This window comes from Homo sapiens, chromosome 14 (genome assembly GCF_000001405.40).
Source record: "Homo sapiens chromosome 14, GRCh38.p14 Primary Assembly".
Taxonomy (NCBI): Eukaryota; Metazoa; Chordata; class Mammalia; order Primates; family Hominidae; genus Homo; species Homo sapiens.
Genome location: NC_000014.9, coordinates 74941625 through 74956170, shown reverse-complemented (window position 1 = coordinate 74956170; position 14546 = coordinate 74941625). Strand labels below are relative to the sequence as shown.

General features: G+C 56.3%; 1 protein-coding gene and 1 long non-coding RNA gene across 5 annotated transcripts, besides 3 other annotated features; one reads left to right on the top strand and one right to left on the bottom strand.

Moving 5' to 3' along the window:
• On the top strand, positions 407 to 14341 carry PGF (placental growth factor). 4 transcript variants are annotated; one of them, NM_001293643.1, is made up of 7 exons: positions 407 to 1003; positions 2228 to 2267; positions 6618 to 6814; positions 7588 to 7664; positions 9763 to 9792; positions 9896 to 9958; positions 13438 to 14341. In NM_001293643.1, exons 1-7 carry the CDS (start codon positions 929 to 931, stop codon positions 13463 to 13465), a joined length of 510 nt encoding a protein of 169 aa, NP_001280572.1. In that variant the 5' UTR covers positions 407 to 928; the 3' UTR covers positions 13466 to 14341. The 4 variants fall into 4 exon arrangements, with proteins under 4 accessions (NP_001280572.1, XP_047287432.1, NP_001193941.1 ...); NM_002632.6 differs by having other exon boundaries at positions 574 to 1003; positions 2225 to 2267; positions 13438 to 14337; XM_047431476.1 differs by lacking the exon at positions 9896 to 9958.
• Positions 428 to 527: a silencer, noted in NCBI's record as "silent region_5938". NCBI's record gives its function as "represses an Ori minimal core promoter by ATAC-STARR-seq in GM12878 lymphoblastoid cells {active_cell/tissue: GM12878}" and the evidence as "EXISTENCE:reporter gene assay evidence [ECO:0000049][PMID:35858748]".
• Positions 708 to 777: a silencer, noted in NCBI's record as "silent region_5937". NCBI's record gives its function as "represses an Ori minimal core promoter by ATAC-STARR-seq in GM12878 lymphoblastoid cells {active_cell/tissue: GM12878}" and the evidence as "EXISTENCE:reporter gene assay evidence [ECO:0000049][PMID:35858748]".
• On the bottom strand, positions 5944 to 13442 carry LOC107984690 (uncharacterized). Its single transcript, XR_001750826.3, has 3 exons — positions 11739 to 13442; positions 7172 to 10931; positions 5944 to 6866 (listed from the first exon to the last, which is right to left on the bottom strand). It is a non-coding gene; the product is annotated as an uncharacterized LOC107984690 (long non-coding RNA).
• Positions 9663 to 9712: a silencer, noted in NCBI's record as "silent region_5936". NCBI's record gives its function as "represses an Ori minimal core promoter by ATAC-STARR-seq in GM12878 lymphoblastoid cells {active_cell/tissue: GM12878}" and the evidence as "EXISTENCE:reporter gene assay evidence [ECO:0000049][PMID:35858748]".

Below are 14546 nucleotides of genomic sequence, written 5' to 3'. Positions count from 1 at the left end.
CTGGAGTCACGTAGGCTTGGGTTTTGTCTCTGCCAGTTCCTCGGACACACAGATGCGCGCACACACACAACACACACACACTTTCCAAGAATGCCTATGTCCATTCGACATATGCAGGCAGGGGTGCTCTCGGAGCCTCGGTTTCTTCATCTATATAACCTGGCTAGGAATCCCTTGGCCCCCTAGGGGTGTGGGCATGGCTGCCTTCCCAGGCATCCCGGACGGCCCTTCCTGCAGAGGCGGTTAGATCATGAGCCTTGACGGCTGACGCTGGACTCCTGGATGCCCCCATCCCAGGTGACCGCCCTGAGAGCCGAAGCAGGGCTGTGGGCCCTGTGGGCGGGCGCGGCGCGGCCCGGGGAGCTGCGGGCTGGGCTCGGCGAGGCGTCTGGACCTGCCGAGAGCCCCTCGCACGCACTGCGGGCTCCGGCGCTGCGGGCTGGCCGGGCGCTGCGGGCTGACCGGGCGCTCCGGGAACTCGGCTCGGGAACCTCGTCTGCGGTGGGCGGGGCCGGCCCGGAGCCCCGCCCCGGCTCAGTCCCTGAAACCCAGGCGCGGACCGGCTGCAGTCTCAGAAGGGAGCTGCTGTCTGCGGAGGAAACTGCATCGACGGACGGCCGCCCAGCTACGGGAGGACCTGGAGTGGCACTGGGCGCCCGACGGACCATCCCCGGGACCCGCCTGCCCCTCGGCGCCCCGCCCCGCCGGGCCGCTCCCCGTCGGGTTCCCCAGCCACAGCCTTACCTACGGGCTCCTGACTCCGCAAGGCTTCCAGAAGATGCTCGAACCACCGGCCGGGGCCTCGGGGCAGCAGTGAGGGAGGCGTCCAGCCCCCCACTCAGCTCTTCTCCTCCTGTGCCAGGGGCTCCCCGGGGGATGAGCATGGTGGTTTTCCCTCGGAGCCCCCTGGCTCGGGACGTCTGAGAAGATGCCGGTCATGAGGCTGTTCCCTTGCTTCCTGCAGCTCCTGGCCGGGCTGGCGCTGCCTGCTGTGCCCCCCCAGGTAAGAGCTACCCCCACCTAGCCTGGCTCCCCAGACCTCCCCATCCCAGCACTGGAAGCATGGGACTCTGAAATCACAGACCCACTCCAGGGAGCAGCAACTCCAAGGATGTCCACACACTTCCTAAAGGCCAGGCTGGACTTCTTTCGTTTGGGAAGAGACCTCAGGCTGGCTGTCCCCCAGGTCCTGGGGGCTGTCTTGGTGGGGGCAGGGAAGCCACAGGGAGGGAGGGAGGGAGGGAGGTTTCCTGTCTGGCCCCTGGAGCCCTGGTGGCTTTGCTAAAAGCATCTGTCCACTAATCCCAGGCGGGTCCCTGGCCTTGTGGTCAGGGTCGAGGCCCCATGGCCAACCAGGCGTCCCCAGGACCTCTGACCTGGCCTGGTGGGGGTGGCGGAGGAGCCAGCTGAAGAAGCTGTTGGTGGGGAGGCTGGCCCTGCCCCCACCAGGGCTCAGGACTGAGCCGTGGGCTCCTGGGTGGGCTGGGGACGAGACAAGGGGTCTCGCTGTGCCTTTTCTCCTGGGTGGGTGGCCGGAGGTCCTGAGTGCAGGGCCTGGGGAAGTGAGCAGGGCCCTTTTCCCAGGAGCCGGGTGAGTCTGGCTGGGAGCCAGCTTGGGCAGTGAAATCCTGACAAAGCCAATGAACTGCCTTCCCACTGCGTTGTCCCACTGCCCTGGGAGTCCCCAGCCCCAGCCCAAGAGTAGGAGTGGGCTGGGCAGTCCCTGAGGAGTCCGAGCAGCCCAGCCACCCGCCTGCCTGCTGCAGGGCTGGCCAGAGGTGTAACGTTACCGGCTGCACCAGCTCATGGCGCCACCCGCTCCAGCCCCTCAGCTCCCACCAGCTGATCACCTCCCCCTGGGCTCTGGCACCCAGCCAAGGCGGGCTGTGCAGGGCCCAGCAGGGTTGGCCTGGGGGCTGGGTAGAAGGCAGACCCGCAGGATTGGAAGATCTTTGGGATGCAGCAGGCCAAGGGTCTCCAAAAGCTTCTAGCCTCCCATCCTTTTCCAAATGAGGAAAACTGAGGCCAGAGAGGGGTGGGACCTAACCTACCCAGGGTCCAGTGAGTTTTTAGTGGTACTCAGGCTGCTCTGAGACAGGGCAGAGCATGTGCAGCAAGTGGGAAGGAACCCAGAGGGGCCCCTACCTTCTTGCCATCACACTTGGCCCAAGAGTGCAGAGCTCCAAGGTACCCCCAGCTCACCTCTGCACTTTTCTGTCCATAGCAGTGGGCCTTGTCTGCTGGGAACGGCTCGTCAGAGGTGGAAGGTAAGCTGGCCAGGCTGGGGGTACGCATGCTCCCCAAGCCCCTCTCTTCCTTTCTCCCAAGCCCAGGTGTGGCATGAAGCGTGGGTGCAGGTTGATAAAAGCTGGGGAGAGCCTACAAGCTAGACATGCTGGGTGATGACTTTGGCAGGGCCTAAGAGATCCCCTCATGGTGACCCAGAGACTAGAGAGGTGTGGGCTGGAGTCACCAGCACACGGAGAGTGGGGCTGGGGCCAGTATAGCCAGGGTTCATCCAGCTGGCTCAGAGCCCTTCCCCAGCATGATTTAAGGGTATGGATGGGGTCTTGGAGGACAGGGTGGGGAGTGAGTGCCAGGGGCCAGAATGGGGGTCTGGGAGCTGAATGCAGTGGGCAGTCAAGAGGATCAGGAATGGGTGAGGGGCCCTCCCCAGCAGCCCAGCCCTGGTGGAACTGCCGGGATCTGACCATGCGTTTCCATTGATTATAAACAGACAGAACATAGTCGCGCCCTCCCTGGCCCCTCCACTCCCCGCCCTGGTTGCATCAAGAGGGAGTCTTCAAAGGGCAACGAGACGTTTGCCAAAGAGACATATGTACAGAAGGCAGGAGGCCCATGCCAGGCCCCCTACCTCGCTCCTCCCTCCCTGCCTCTCCAAGACGTGCAAAGTGGCCACACACCACCGCTGAGGTTTCCCCTGCGCCATGGGAGAGTGGGCATGTAGGGACATGCACACGCACACGCGTGATAGCCATCTGCGTGCTGGGAACACCCTCTGCTGGGCTGCCTGCCTGGCAGCCCGCCTCTCCCGGGCCTGGCCATACTCTGACACCTAAGGCTTAGGCCCCTAGACCCCTGAGCAGGTAGAGGAGGTAGCTGCCCTTGACCTCATGGATGCCTCCCTTGCTGTGCCTCTGGAACCAGCACAACATTATGCTCCTTGGGATTTGGGGAAGGACCCATCCCCTACCTCCACACTATGCCCTTTTTGGTGCTTTTAGTGTAGGTCAGGCCACAGCTACCAAAGATGCCTTAGCCTCAGTTTTCTCATCTGTAAAATGGGAGCCTTGGCTACATGATGTCTATGGTTTCTTCTTTTTCCGAGATTGAAAAAGGGACTTGTCCTCTGACTCCAGGGAGGAGAAATGGGTGTACATATCACCCAGGATTTGAGGTGGGGAGGCCTGGAAGTGTAGATTCATTAGGTCAGCTCTCCTGTCACACTTATCAATCAGGGAGTCTGCAATCTGACCGGGAGAAGTACAACGAGCTTTGCACCCCAGCTCTCAAAATCTGAAAATGGCATCCCCACCTGTTAACACCACAGCCAGAGACAGCATGGCCAGCCATGGGCATTGATTTTTACTATTACTATTCACGGTAACAATGTTAGGCATTTTCTGTCATTCTGTTTTGACCACAGGCTGTGAAGTAGGAAGGGGTTGTACTCCATTTTTACAGATGCAGGCAGGCCCTGAGGCTCAGAGAGGCCCTGGGGGTCGCCCCAAGCCTCAGACACTCCTCATGGATCTGGCAGAACCAAGTGCTCCCAATAGCTCCGTGGCTGAGCGGGCATGAGCAGGGTGTCCCTTGTGGCAGGCTGTCTGTGTGCCCTGCCAGTGACCATGGAGAGGACACTTGTGGGCTTGGGCTGGTGGCCAGTGGCTCTGCCCAGCCCTGTGGCCCGTCTCCAGTGCCCTCCACAGAAACTTGCTCTCAGGATTAAGCATTTCTCTCCTGGGGTCTCCCCCATCCCAGGTGGTAGGTAGGCAGGTGGGAGGCTCACTCACAGGGCTGGCGAGAGAGCTGAGGGCACACTTGCAGCCTCAGGAGCAGCCCTGGGGACCACCCAGCCCTGGCAGTGCCTGAGGGGGCCCTGAGGGGGCCACAGCTTCCCGTTGCTCTCACCTCCACCCCCTCCCGGAGCAGGTCTGGGGCCAGCGGAAGTGCTCTCGGGGACAGCTGAGCAGAGCTCTTTCCTGAGGGACACAGCCCACATCTGGGAGCGGTCACTGTACTCCCTCAGCCCGGCCCCTCACCCAGCCCCTTTTGTTTCTCCCACACACCCATAGCGGGGCCTTCAGGGATGAATTGCCCTTTCCTGGTGGCTGCCAGGTAAACCAGGCTCCAGCCCACCTCCTTCTCAGCCCTCCCCCAACACAGTTCGGCCACAGGGCTGGGAAAGTGGCAGATTCCAGGGTTTCAGGGACCCGGAACCTGCATGGTGGGATGTGGGGTGAGGAAAGGAAATCCCTTCTTCTGCTGCCGAGGCCCAGCCAGTTCTGCCAAAGGTGGCCATGGCCCCGCAGCCCAGCTGGGTGGGTGTCTGTTTGCAGGATGGAGGGGGCTGGGGTGCCCCTTCTCTGCTGCTGTCCCCTCGCTGACGGCTGGTCCCAGGGCAGGAACCTGAGTCTTCTGTGGTGCTTTGGCAGCTCATTATTCCTCTGCTGTTATTTATGTTTTCCAAGGTGGAGATTAAACGTTCAGAGTCACGTAGTGCTCATGAAGATTTTAAACTAAACACACAGCTCAAGGAGCTGGTGATAGGGAGGTGCTCTCTGACCCAGGATTGCAAAGGCAGGCTTCCCTGCACTTTGGGCGCCTTTGGGGAGAGAGGCCTTGTTTCCCACTGGGTTCCGGGGCAGTATCCAGTGGCGCGGAGTGGTAGAGTCAGAGGAGGCCTATGGATTCCCCCCACCACCAGCCCCTAGGCCCTAGTGCCCTCTAAGCAGAGCACGGCAGAATGGAGCAGAATGGAGCAGCAAACAAGCAGATAACACTGTTTATTGCCTCTATGACTGCCTAGCCAGCTCCACATGGACACACCGCCTCTGGGTATTTTCCACCAGTTTGCAGCCTTTCCCGAGGGCCTCTGCTAGGACTGAAGTTTATTTTTCTTCCGAGATTACCAGGAGGCTCATGTCCTCATAGGCTCAGTGGAATGGACTTTGGCCCCTTCTGCCTCCTAGGCAGAGGCATGGAAGAAATGAGGGGTTGCTGGGAGAGGCCATTGTTCCATGGCAGAGGCTGCAGGACCCCCAGCTCCCCATTCTTCCCCACTAGCTGAGGATGACCATCAGATGCAGAGCAGGATGACCCAGGCCTGGGGGTGTTTCTCTGTCCATGGTCTCTGGGCTGGGCTGGGTTGCAGGCACTGATTCACAGGCGGTTGGTCAGAGAGGGAAAGACCTTAGCAACCATTTATTCCCAACCTTCTTTTTTCCCACCTGAGGAAACTGATCTATCCAGAAAGGTTAAGTGATCTCCCCAAGGTCACATAGCCAGTGTAGGGCCAGGACTGGAAGCCAGGTGTCTGACTCTGGCCACTCTCCCTGTGAGCCTCTATTTGGGGCCTGGTCCTAGGCCTTCCCCCGAAAGAGCAGCATCTTTTGAGGGATTCCAGATCAGCCCCCAAAAGATCCCATTCACGATCGCCAGGACATCGTGAGGTCAGGGATGACCCGGATGATCCTCAGTGAAATGTCATCTAATCAACCAGGAGTGACTTAGCCTGTGTTTACGGGTACGTCCATCTCTGCCCTCATGGAGCCTCGAGTTGGTTGTAAAGGAGATAAGAGCAAGCAGTGCCGGAGATAAGGCAACCCCTTGAGGCCAGAGGCCAAGCAGTGCTCAAGGGAGGCTCATCTGTGTGCACTGGAATTGCTGGGGAAGTCTTCAAAGAGGAGGTGGGGAGGCAGGTCGTGGAAAATGGCGGGTGGACTTTATTTGGATAGAAATGAGAGGAGGGGGAAGAAGAGCAGCTGTACGGGCTGCAGAGTGCACAAGCCAGAGCTGGGAGTGAATGTGGTGCTGCCGTGGCTCAGTGTGAGCGCTGGTTGGACTCAGTGGAGAGGAGGGTCGGGCCACATTGCTGGATGTGGTCTTGGTTGCCAGGCAGAGGAGCTGGCACAGAGTGGGGCAGGAAATGAGGGAGCCGTGGAAGGTGTTTGAGCAGAGGAATAAGGGAAGGCCAACCCTCCCTGCATGACTCCAGGAATGACTGTTTTCTGCAAGTTCTCCAAGTTGGAGGAAGCACCGGGTCAGGCTTGAGAAAGATCCAGAGGGCCTGGGTAGCTGCCGGGGCTACAATCCTCAAAGCTCCAGGGAGCCAAGGCAGACGTGGGTGCCTGAGTTGAGGACAGAGCAAAGCTTGGGACCCTGAGAGATTCTGTTCCATGGGGATTTCCATCCAGCAGATGAGCTAAGGGGCCCGCAGGCATTTCGGAGGGATCACATTAGGAGTTCAGAGTTGAGGGAGCTCGGATGGGGCTGGGGGCTGAACCTGGAAGGCCAGCAGGGCCTTGGGAGCCAGGTTTAGGGCTTCAAGGGGCAGGTCTCTGCTGGCCTGACCCAGCCCCCTTGCTTCCTCGCAGTGGTACCCTTCCAGGAAGTGTGGGGCCGCAGCTACTGCCGGGCGCTGGAGAGGCTGGTGGACGTCGTGTCCGAGTACCCCAGCGAGGTGGAGCACATGTTCAGCCCATCCTGTGTCTCCCTGCTGCGCTGCACCGGCTGCTGCGGCGATGAGAATCTGCACTGTGTGCCGGTGGAGACGGCCAATGTCACCATGCAGGTAGGTCCATACCCTGCCCAGGGGGCCACCGAATCTGCCCACTAGAAGGTACCTGGAGAGGGAAGAAGATAGGCCCAGGTCCCAGGGCTGGAGCCTGACTCCCAGGCCAGTGCTCCTACCACCCCAGCCCAGGGCCTCTTCTTCCTAAGCCCTCCGATGGCTCTGAGCCCACTCATCTCCACCCCCACCAGCATTCTCAGCCTCACGCTGAGTCCTATCCCAAGACTCAGGGTGTCTAGTTAAAGCTGGAAAGAAATCTGCTTGTATAAAGTCCCTGTTGACACCAGGAGCATTTGGTCCCTTTTCAAGCAAGTGCAGCTTACATGTCACACACGCAGTGGTTTACTGAGCACTTACTGAGTAATGCCAAGCACTGTCCTAGGCGTGCCACAAGTGGTGTGTCATTCAATCCTTCAAGGCTGGTGTCATTCCCATTTCACGGATGGGGAACTCAAGGTTCAGAGATGTTATTTCACTTGTTCAGCAGGTAAAAGAGTCAAGATCTGAACACGGGTCTCTCTGACTCCAGAACATGAGCCCCCTTCCTGTGCTATTGCTGTGCTAGTGCTCCCGGGCAGGGAGGGACAGGGGCCTCCCTCAGATCCCCATGCAGCTGAGAGAGCTGTTTGCCCCACGTTCAGAGTGGAGTGAGGGCCTGTAGTCCACAGGCTAGCAGGAAACAGAGTCGGGTTCTCCTTACAAGGAGAGAGAGAAGAGTGCCGGAAACTCGTGGGCCACTCCCCAATCCAGGCATCAACTCTTTCTTCCTTCAGCTCCTAAAGATCCGTTCTGGGGACCGGCCCTCCTACGTGGAGCTGACGTTCTCTCAGCACGTTCGCTGCGAATGCCGGTAGGTCTCCGGGGTCGGGTGGGTAGCAAGGAAAGGCCCCCGTCCTCTTGGCAGCCTCAGCAAAGATGGGTCCCAGGGCAGAGGCAAAGGCTGCCCATCCCCGCTGCGGGCTGAACTTTTTTCCAGACTGAGGGAGACCAAGAGGGCAGGACCAGGGGTGGCTACCATTCATTTTGTCCCCCCACCAGCCAGTTTTGCCAAGGGAGCTGGTCCCAGCAGCTGGGGTACAGCTGTTGAGATACTGCAAGGGAAGAGAGAGGGTGGGTCCCTCCCAGCCTCGCAGGGGTTCGGTGCGTGTCGTTCCCCTTCTCTGGGATGGGAGGCAGCTGCCACGGGCCTCTGAAAGAGGTGCCTGGAGGCAAAGACATTGCAAGTCTGAACTTCGTTCTGGGGCAAGCTGTGTGCCCACAGGAGCGGGCAAACGGGGCTGAGAAGCAGCAAGAAGGACAAGCTCGGGTAGGAGAAAAGGGGCAGAAGAAGAGTGACACTGTGGCTTCCTTGATGTTGCAGCACCCCTCTACGGCCCCTCCCAATCCACAGAGCCTCTGACCAGCACCAGTCTTGCTGCCTGTGCTGGGGGCACTTGGAACATTGGTTAGCAGGAGCAACAGGCCTGGCACTGCCAGCTAGGTTCAGGGAAGAGAGAAATGGGCTGAGCTGCTGCTCCTGGTACTACTGGGCCATGGATGAAGGCACCAGACTAGAAGTCCAGAGCCCTAGCCAGGGGCGGCAGGAGGGAAGACTACCACTTATTGTGTACCTATTCTGTGCCTAGCCCCGCAGGAGGCACTTGAATGTTTCTCATTTAGTCACATACATTTATTGAGCACCTACCACATGCCAGGCATTGTCCTGATGGGATGCAGTGGTGAGCAAGGTTCCTGCTCTCATAACAACCCTGGGAGGTAGGCCCTATTGTCATCCCCATTTTACAGATGAGAAAATCAAGGCTCAATACAGTTTCATGATTTATCACAGCTAGTGAGTGTGGGAGGAGGGATTCTGGGCCCTGACCTAACTCGTAAGCCTTCGTTTTTCAGGCTACCTTTCATGGCCATGACCACTTTTCTAATAGCCCCCAGGCTTAGCCTTGCCTCCTGGGCAGGGCTATGGCTGCCCCTTTTGTTGGAGTGTTGGAGACCCTGCCTCAACTTGTTTCCACCCATCCCTCCAAGCCAGAGCTTAGCCATATAACAAGAGCTCGGTAATGAACCCTCCTGGGTGCAATGCTGGGTGGTGACCCAGAGTCACCTTCTCCATCCCCTTTGCCCTGACAGCCACTCTTTTGGGGCAGGCAGATGAAGAGACTGAGGTTCCAAGAGTGTCTGTCACTTGCCCAATATGGAGAGGTACAACCAGACAGTCCCAAGAGGCCCTGGTACCTTGCCCTGGCTCCCAAGGGAGGAACCAGCTGAGGGTAGCATGTCCTGGCCCCAAAGCTGACTGCTACCATGCTGTCCCATGTCTCTACCCACTGTTCCCAGTGAAGACTGAGGCCCTATCCCCTGCCAGGGGCCAGGCAACAGGGACACCTTTCTTCTTGCTTCTGGGCCAACAGCCACAGCCCTGGGAGGCAGAGCCCAGACATGCCTGGTGACTTCAGGGCTGATGCTCCCTCCTTCCTCCCACCCCGTCGCTCACTCCCCATGTTGTTCCGGATGGAGTGGGGCTGTGCCCTGACAGGCAGCCAGTCCGCTGTCTGGCCATCATCTCCTGTCCCTGAGGAAATTCCCAGAATGCACCCTGGAAGGAACGGAAAAAAGCAGCAAAGAAAGTGAGAAAGAAAAAGCAACAGAGAACAGACAGAAACAACCAAATTTGATGCCAAGAGGCTGAGAAGTGCAGAAGCGGGTGGCAGGGGTCCCCAGGAGGTTGATTTGTCCCTCTCGTGGTGGGGTCACCAGAGCCTGGAGTGGGAGTGAAGCCTTGAGGCTCTGGCCACCTCTCCCTTGCCAACTCCATGCTACCCCCTAGTGGCCTCAGTGTCAGCTGCAGGACCAGGACTGGGGATGTCGGAGGGGACCTGTCCGGGCGGCAGGGAGCCCCACTTATTGCTTTCCTAACGTTCCTCTGCCCCTCTCTCTGTCTGTTTCCCTAGGCCTCTGCGGGAGAAGATGAAGCCGGAAAGGTAAGTGGTTTGGCTGGGGCTCGGGGCTATTCTCGGGCCTGCCAGCCTCTGTCCTAGCATGGGGTTCCCCAGCCACCTTGTCCTGACGCTTGGCTTATTGCAGGAGGAGACCCAAGGGCAGGGGGAAGAGGAGGAGAGAGAAGCAGAGACCCACAGACTGCCACCTGTGAGTGTGCGGGGTCCCAGGGATGGCGAGGAGGCTGGGCCCGAGGGGAGCCCCGCCTTGCCGCCAGGGTTAGGTTGGGGAGGGGGAGAGGCAGGACTGAGGCCAGTCTTGGGGGCAGAACAGGGAGCTGCACCTCCTCAAGACTCTAGGGCCCAGGAAGCATCAGTGGACCTTGGTTTTTGTCCCGGCTTAGCCCTAGGTTTCCATTGACCTTCAACAAATCATTTCACCTTTGTCAGCCTAGCTTTTCTCTGTGTAGAATGAGGGGCAGGAGGTCCAGCAAACATTCAGTCACTCTACAAACATTTACTGAGCACTTACTGTGTGTCAGGTACATCTGTGAGCAAACAAACAGGATTCCTGCACATTAGTGTTTACCTTTTAGTGATTAAAAGTCTGTCATCAGCTGAGACGTTATCTGGGGCCACTTCCTAGTAGCCCCGGGGAACATGTGCCCCTCGCCACTGTCTCCCAGGAGTATTTTTGCCTGTGGGTCCCCTTGCTGCTTCTAACCCACTTCGTACCTTGTGGGCAGCAGAATGGAGCCCCAGGCCTGAGTGTGGCTGGGAGAGAAGGATGAGAGGAGGGAAAACCCAAATCTGTGAGAGTAAATAGAAAAAATAAAATATTTCACGTGCACAGTCAATCAGTCACTGAAGAGAGGTGGCTCTCCTTCAGGGGCTAAGCCTCCCCCACGCACGTGACTCCAGGAAGTCATTTCGTGCTATGGAGTGGAGTTGACCCAAGCCCTGACCCCATGAGCCCCACTCCATGAAGACAGGGATCCTGGGGACTGCGCCCCCTAGGGGTTTATGCTCTCATCTCTTTTCTGGGCCCGCGCGGCAATTTGGGAAACAAGCTGGCAGGGAAGTCCATCCAGGCCCGAGTTACCCGCCGGCAGCCGGAGGCAGAAAGTGTCCCGTGGCTCCTGTTCCCAAGGCAGCAGTCTTCAGACATTTCACTCGGGAATCTCCTGAAAGAATTTCAAAAGTGGCCGGGCGCAGTGGCTAACACCTGTAATCCCAGCACTTTGGGAGGCCGAAGTGGGTAGATCACTTGAGGTCAGAAGTTCGAGGCCAGCCTGACCAACACGGTGAAACCACATCTCTACTAAAAATACAAAATTAGCTGGGCGTGTTGGTGCATGCCTGTAATCTCAGCTACTTGGGAGGCTGAGGCAGGAGAATCGCTTGAACCCGGGAGGCGGAGGTTGCAGTGAGCCGAGATCACGCCACTGCACTCCAGCCTGGGTGACAGAGCAAGACTCCGTCTCAAAAAAAAAAAAAAAAAGAATTCCAAAAGCCCATGTGCTCCCTTGCCCATTCTTAAGTTGACATTGAACATTTTCATCAGAATTATAAGTCAAGCCAGGCTCAGTACCTCATGCCTGTAATTCTAGCACTTTGGGAGGCCGAGGCGAGTGGATCGCTTGAGGCCAGGAGTTCAAGCCTAGCCGGGGCAACATGGTGAAACCTCGTCTCTACAAAAAAAATACAAAAACTAGCTGGACGTGGTGCCATGTGCCTATAGTCCCAACTACTCAGGAGGCTGAGGTGGAATGATCACCTGAGCCTGGGAGGTCAAGGCTGCAGTGAGCCGAGATAGATCCACTGCACCTCAGCCTGGGTGACAGAGTAAGAACCTGTCTCAAAAAAAAAAAAGTATAAGTCATTACAAAGGATATAATTTCTGGCATATTATTAATATTTTAATACAAAGCTATTGTAGAACACTCTCCAGGTGTATCCTATTAAATACGCCATTTTAATGTTATACTCACCATCATCCACTTTTAAGAAAATGAACAAGCAGGCCAGGCGCGGTGGCTCACACCTGTAATCCCAGCACTTTTGGAGGCCAAGGCGGGCGGATCGCAAGGTTAGGAGATCGAGACCATCCTGGCTAACATGGTGAAACCCCATCTGTACTAAAAATACAAAAAATTAGCCGGGTGTGGTGGTGGGTGCCTATAGTCCCAGCTACTCGGGAGGCTGAGGCAGGAGAATGGCATGAACCCGGGAGGCGGAACTTGCAGTGAGCCGAGATCACGCCACTGCACTCCAGCCTGGGACAGAGCAAGACTCCGTCTCAAAAAAAAAAAAAGAAAATTAACAAGCAAAAAAAAAAAAAATACAGGAACACTTCCTTTCATAATTATATATTTACATTGTTTCTTTTTTCCTGGAACTTGTATTTCCATTTCACTCCCCACCCCCAAGAATTTCAGCCTAGTGTAACAGTACTTTTAATTTTCAGAAGTCTTTTATTGATTACCTTGTCATATTTATCTGCCACAAAAAAATGATATATGAGTTTGAATTATTTTAAATTTCCTGTGAGCATAAACCTAAATTAAATTTTCTCCTGGAATAAATTATCAAAATAATTCTTAGTAGCACCATTTGGTCAAAACAGCACAAATACTTCCTATTTTAATAGATGTTCAACATAAAAATACAATCAATTTGATTGGGAATGCATCTCAATGAGATGGATGTGGCTACCTCGTTTCAATTAGTGAATGAATCCATTAATGAATGTTACTTCCTGCCAGACTGAGACAGGATTCTGCATTAATTTAATTCCTGTTTATCATTTTTTTATTGATGAGAAGGTTGAGAAACCATGTTCACATAAATAAGTAAATGAGACTAGATGTCACTCAATTACTTGAACTCCTTCCTTCCAAGTTATTTGCCAGAAATCTCAAGGTGCTCTGCTAAGAACAAATTACTTCTCATGATATCCTGGCTGACAATTTGGTTAAGCTGTTCTTCAGTTTTGTTGAAAGCCTTGGTTACCCAGTCATTAGCCATATTTTCTTTCTCAAGACCTACATCAATATCTCAAATTGTTCTTTTTTTCATGTCCTCAGAATACTTTTACCTGGCAGCAAAGCACTTTATGAGGATTTAGAATGAGCAAGATGTGTTGTGGCCAGAGAAGCAGATCTCAGCCACTGCCTCACAAAAATAATTTTAAGGCAATGTAGACCTGGAGGCTGAAAATGGATTTCTTTAAAACCGTCAGTACTCAGGCCTCACGTGCGTCTAGCGGTACTCCCCTGTTTGGAGACTGCTGTCTTAGGGTAATCAGAGGCATGATTGCATGGAGTGTGATTAGGTTCAAATGTGGCTCTGTCACCGACTGGCCGTGTGACCACAGGCAAGCTTCTTCACCTCTCTGGGCCTCAGTTTCCTAATCTTCACAAGAATAATCAGGGTGCCTTCCTCATGGAAGGTTGTTGAGGGTTAAGAAGACAGTGCTTGGCACAGGGCTGGGCACATGGGTAAGTGTTTGGTGAAGGGTAGCTCCCAGCTTCTCCTCAGCTTGAAGCAAGCAGGGACCCAGGAGCACTGCGCCCTCCCCATGCTCCCTGCCCAAGCTCCTCCTCTGGGCCTGCCCCCTCCTCCATAGGAGGAGACCGCACCCTCCACAGTGTGCTGATACCCGCCCCGTCTGTGCTTGGTCTCTGGCAGGTGCGGCGATGCTGTTCCCCGGAGGTAACCCACCCCTTGGAGGAGAGAGACCCCGCACCCGGCTCGTGTATTTATTACCGTCACACTCTTCAGTGACTCCTGCTGGTACCTGCCCTCTATTTATTAGCCAACTGTTTCCCTGCTGAATGCCTCGCTCCCTTCAAGACGAGGGGCAGGGAAGGACAGGACCCTCAGGAATTCAGTGCCTTCAACAACGTGAGAGAAAGAGAGAAGCCAGCCACAGACCCCTGGGAGCTTCCGCTTTGAAAGAAGCAAGACACGTGGCCTCGTGAGGGGCAAGCTAGGCCCCAGAGGCCCTGGAGGTCTCCAGGGGCCTGCAGAAGGAAAGAAGGGGGCCCTGCTACCTGTTCTTGGGCCTCAGGCTCTGCACAGACAAGCAGCCCTTGCTTTCGGAGCTCCTGTCCAAAGTAGGGATGCGGATCCTGCTGGGGCCGCCACGGCCTGGCTGGTGGGAAGGCCGGCAGCGGGCGGAGGGGATCCAGCCACTTCCCCCTCTTCTTCTGAAGATCAGAACATTCAGCTCTGGAGAACAGTGGTTGCCTGGGGGCTTTTGCCACTCCTTGTCCCCCGTGATCTCCCCTCACACTTTGCCATTTGCTTGTACTGGGACATTGTTCTTTCCGGCCAAGGTGCCACCACCCTGCCCCCCCTAAGAGACACATACAGAGTGGGCCCCGGGCTGGAGAAAGAGCTGCCTGGATGAGAAACAGCTCAGCCAGTGGGGATGAGGTCACCAGGGGAGGAGCCTGTGCGTCCCAGCTGAAGGCAGTGGCAGGGGAGCAGGTTCCCCAAGGGCCCTGGCACCCCCACAAGCTGTCCCTGCAGGGCCATCTGACTGCCAAGCCAGATTCTCTTGAATAAAGTATTCTAGTGTGGAAACGCTGATCTAGTGGGTGTGTCTTCCGGGGCAGTGAGCGTCAGCCGGGAACGGAAGCCAGACAGACCCAGGGATCGGGGTGTAACAGGAAGAGCACAGCACCTTCTCCGAGCCTCAGTTTCCTTATCTCAAAAGCCTCGCTCAGTCGACGAGAGGGCATGTCACAGCTCACGACAACATGTTAGCTTGCTCCTTCCTTCCTCCTTTTGAC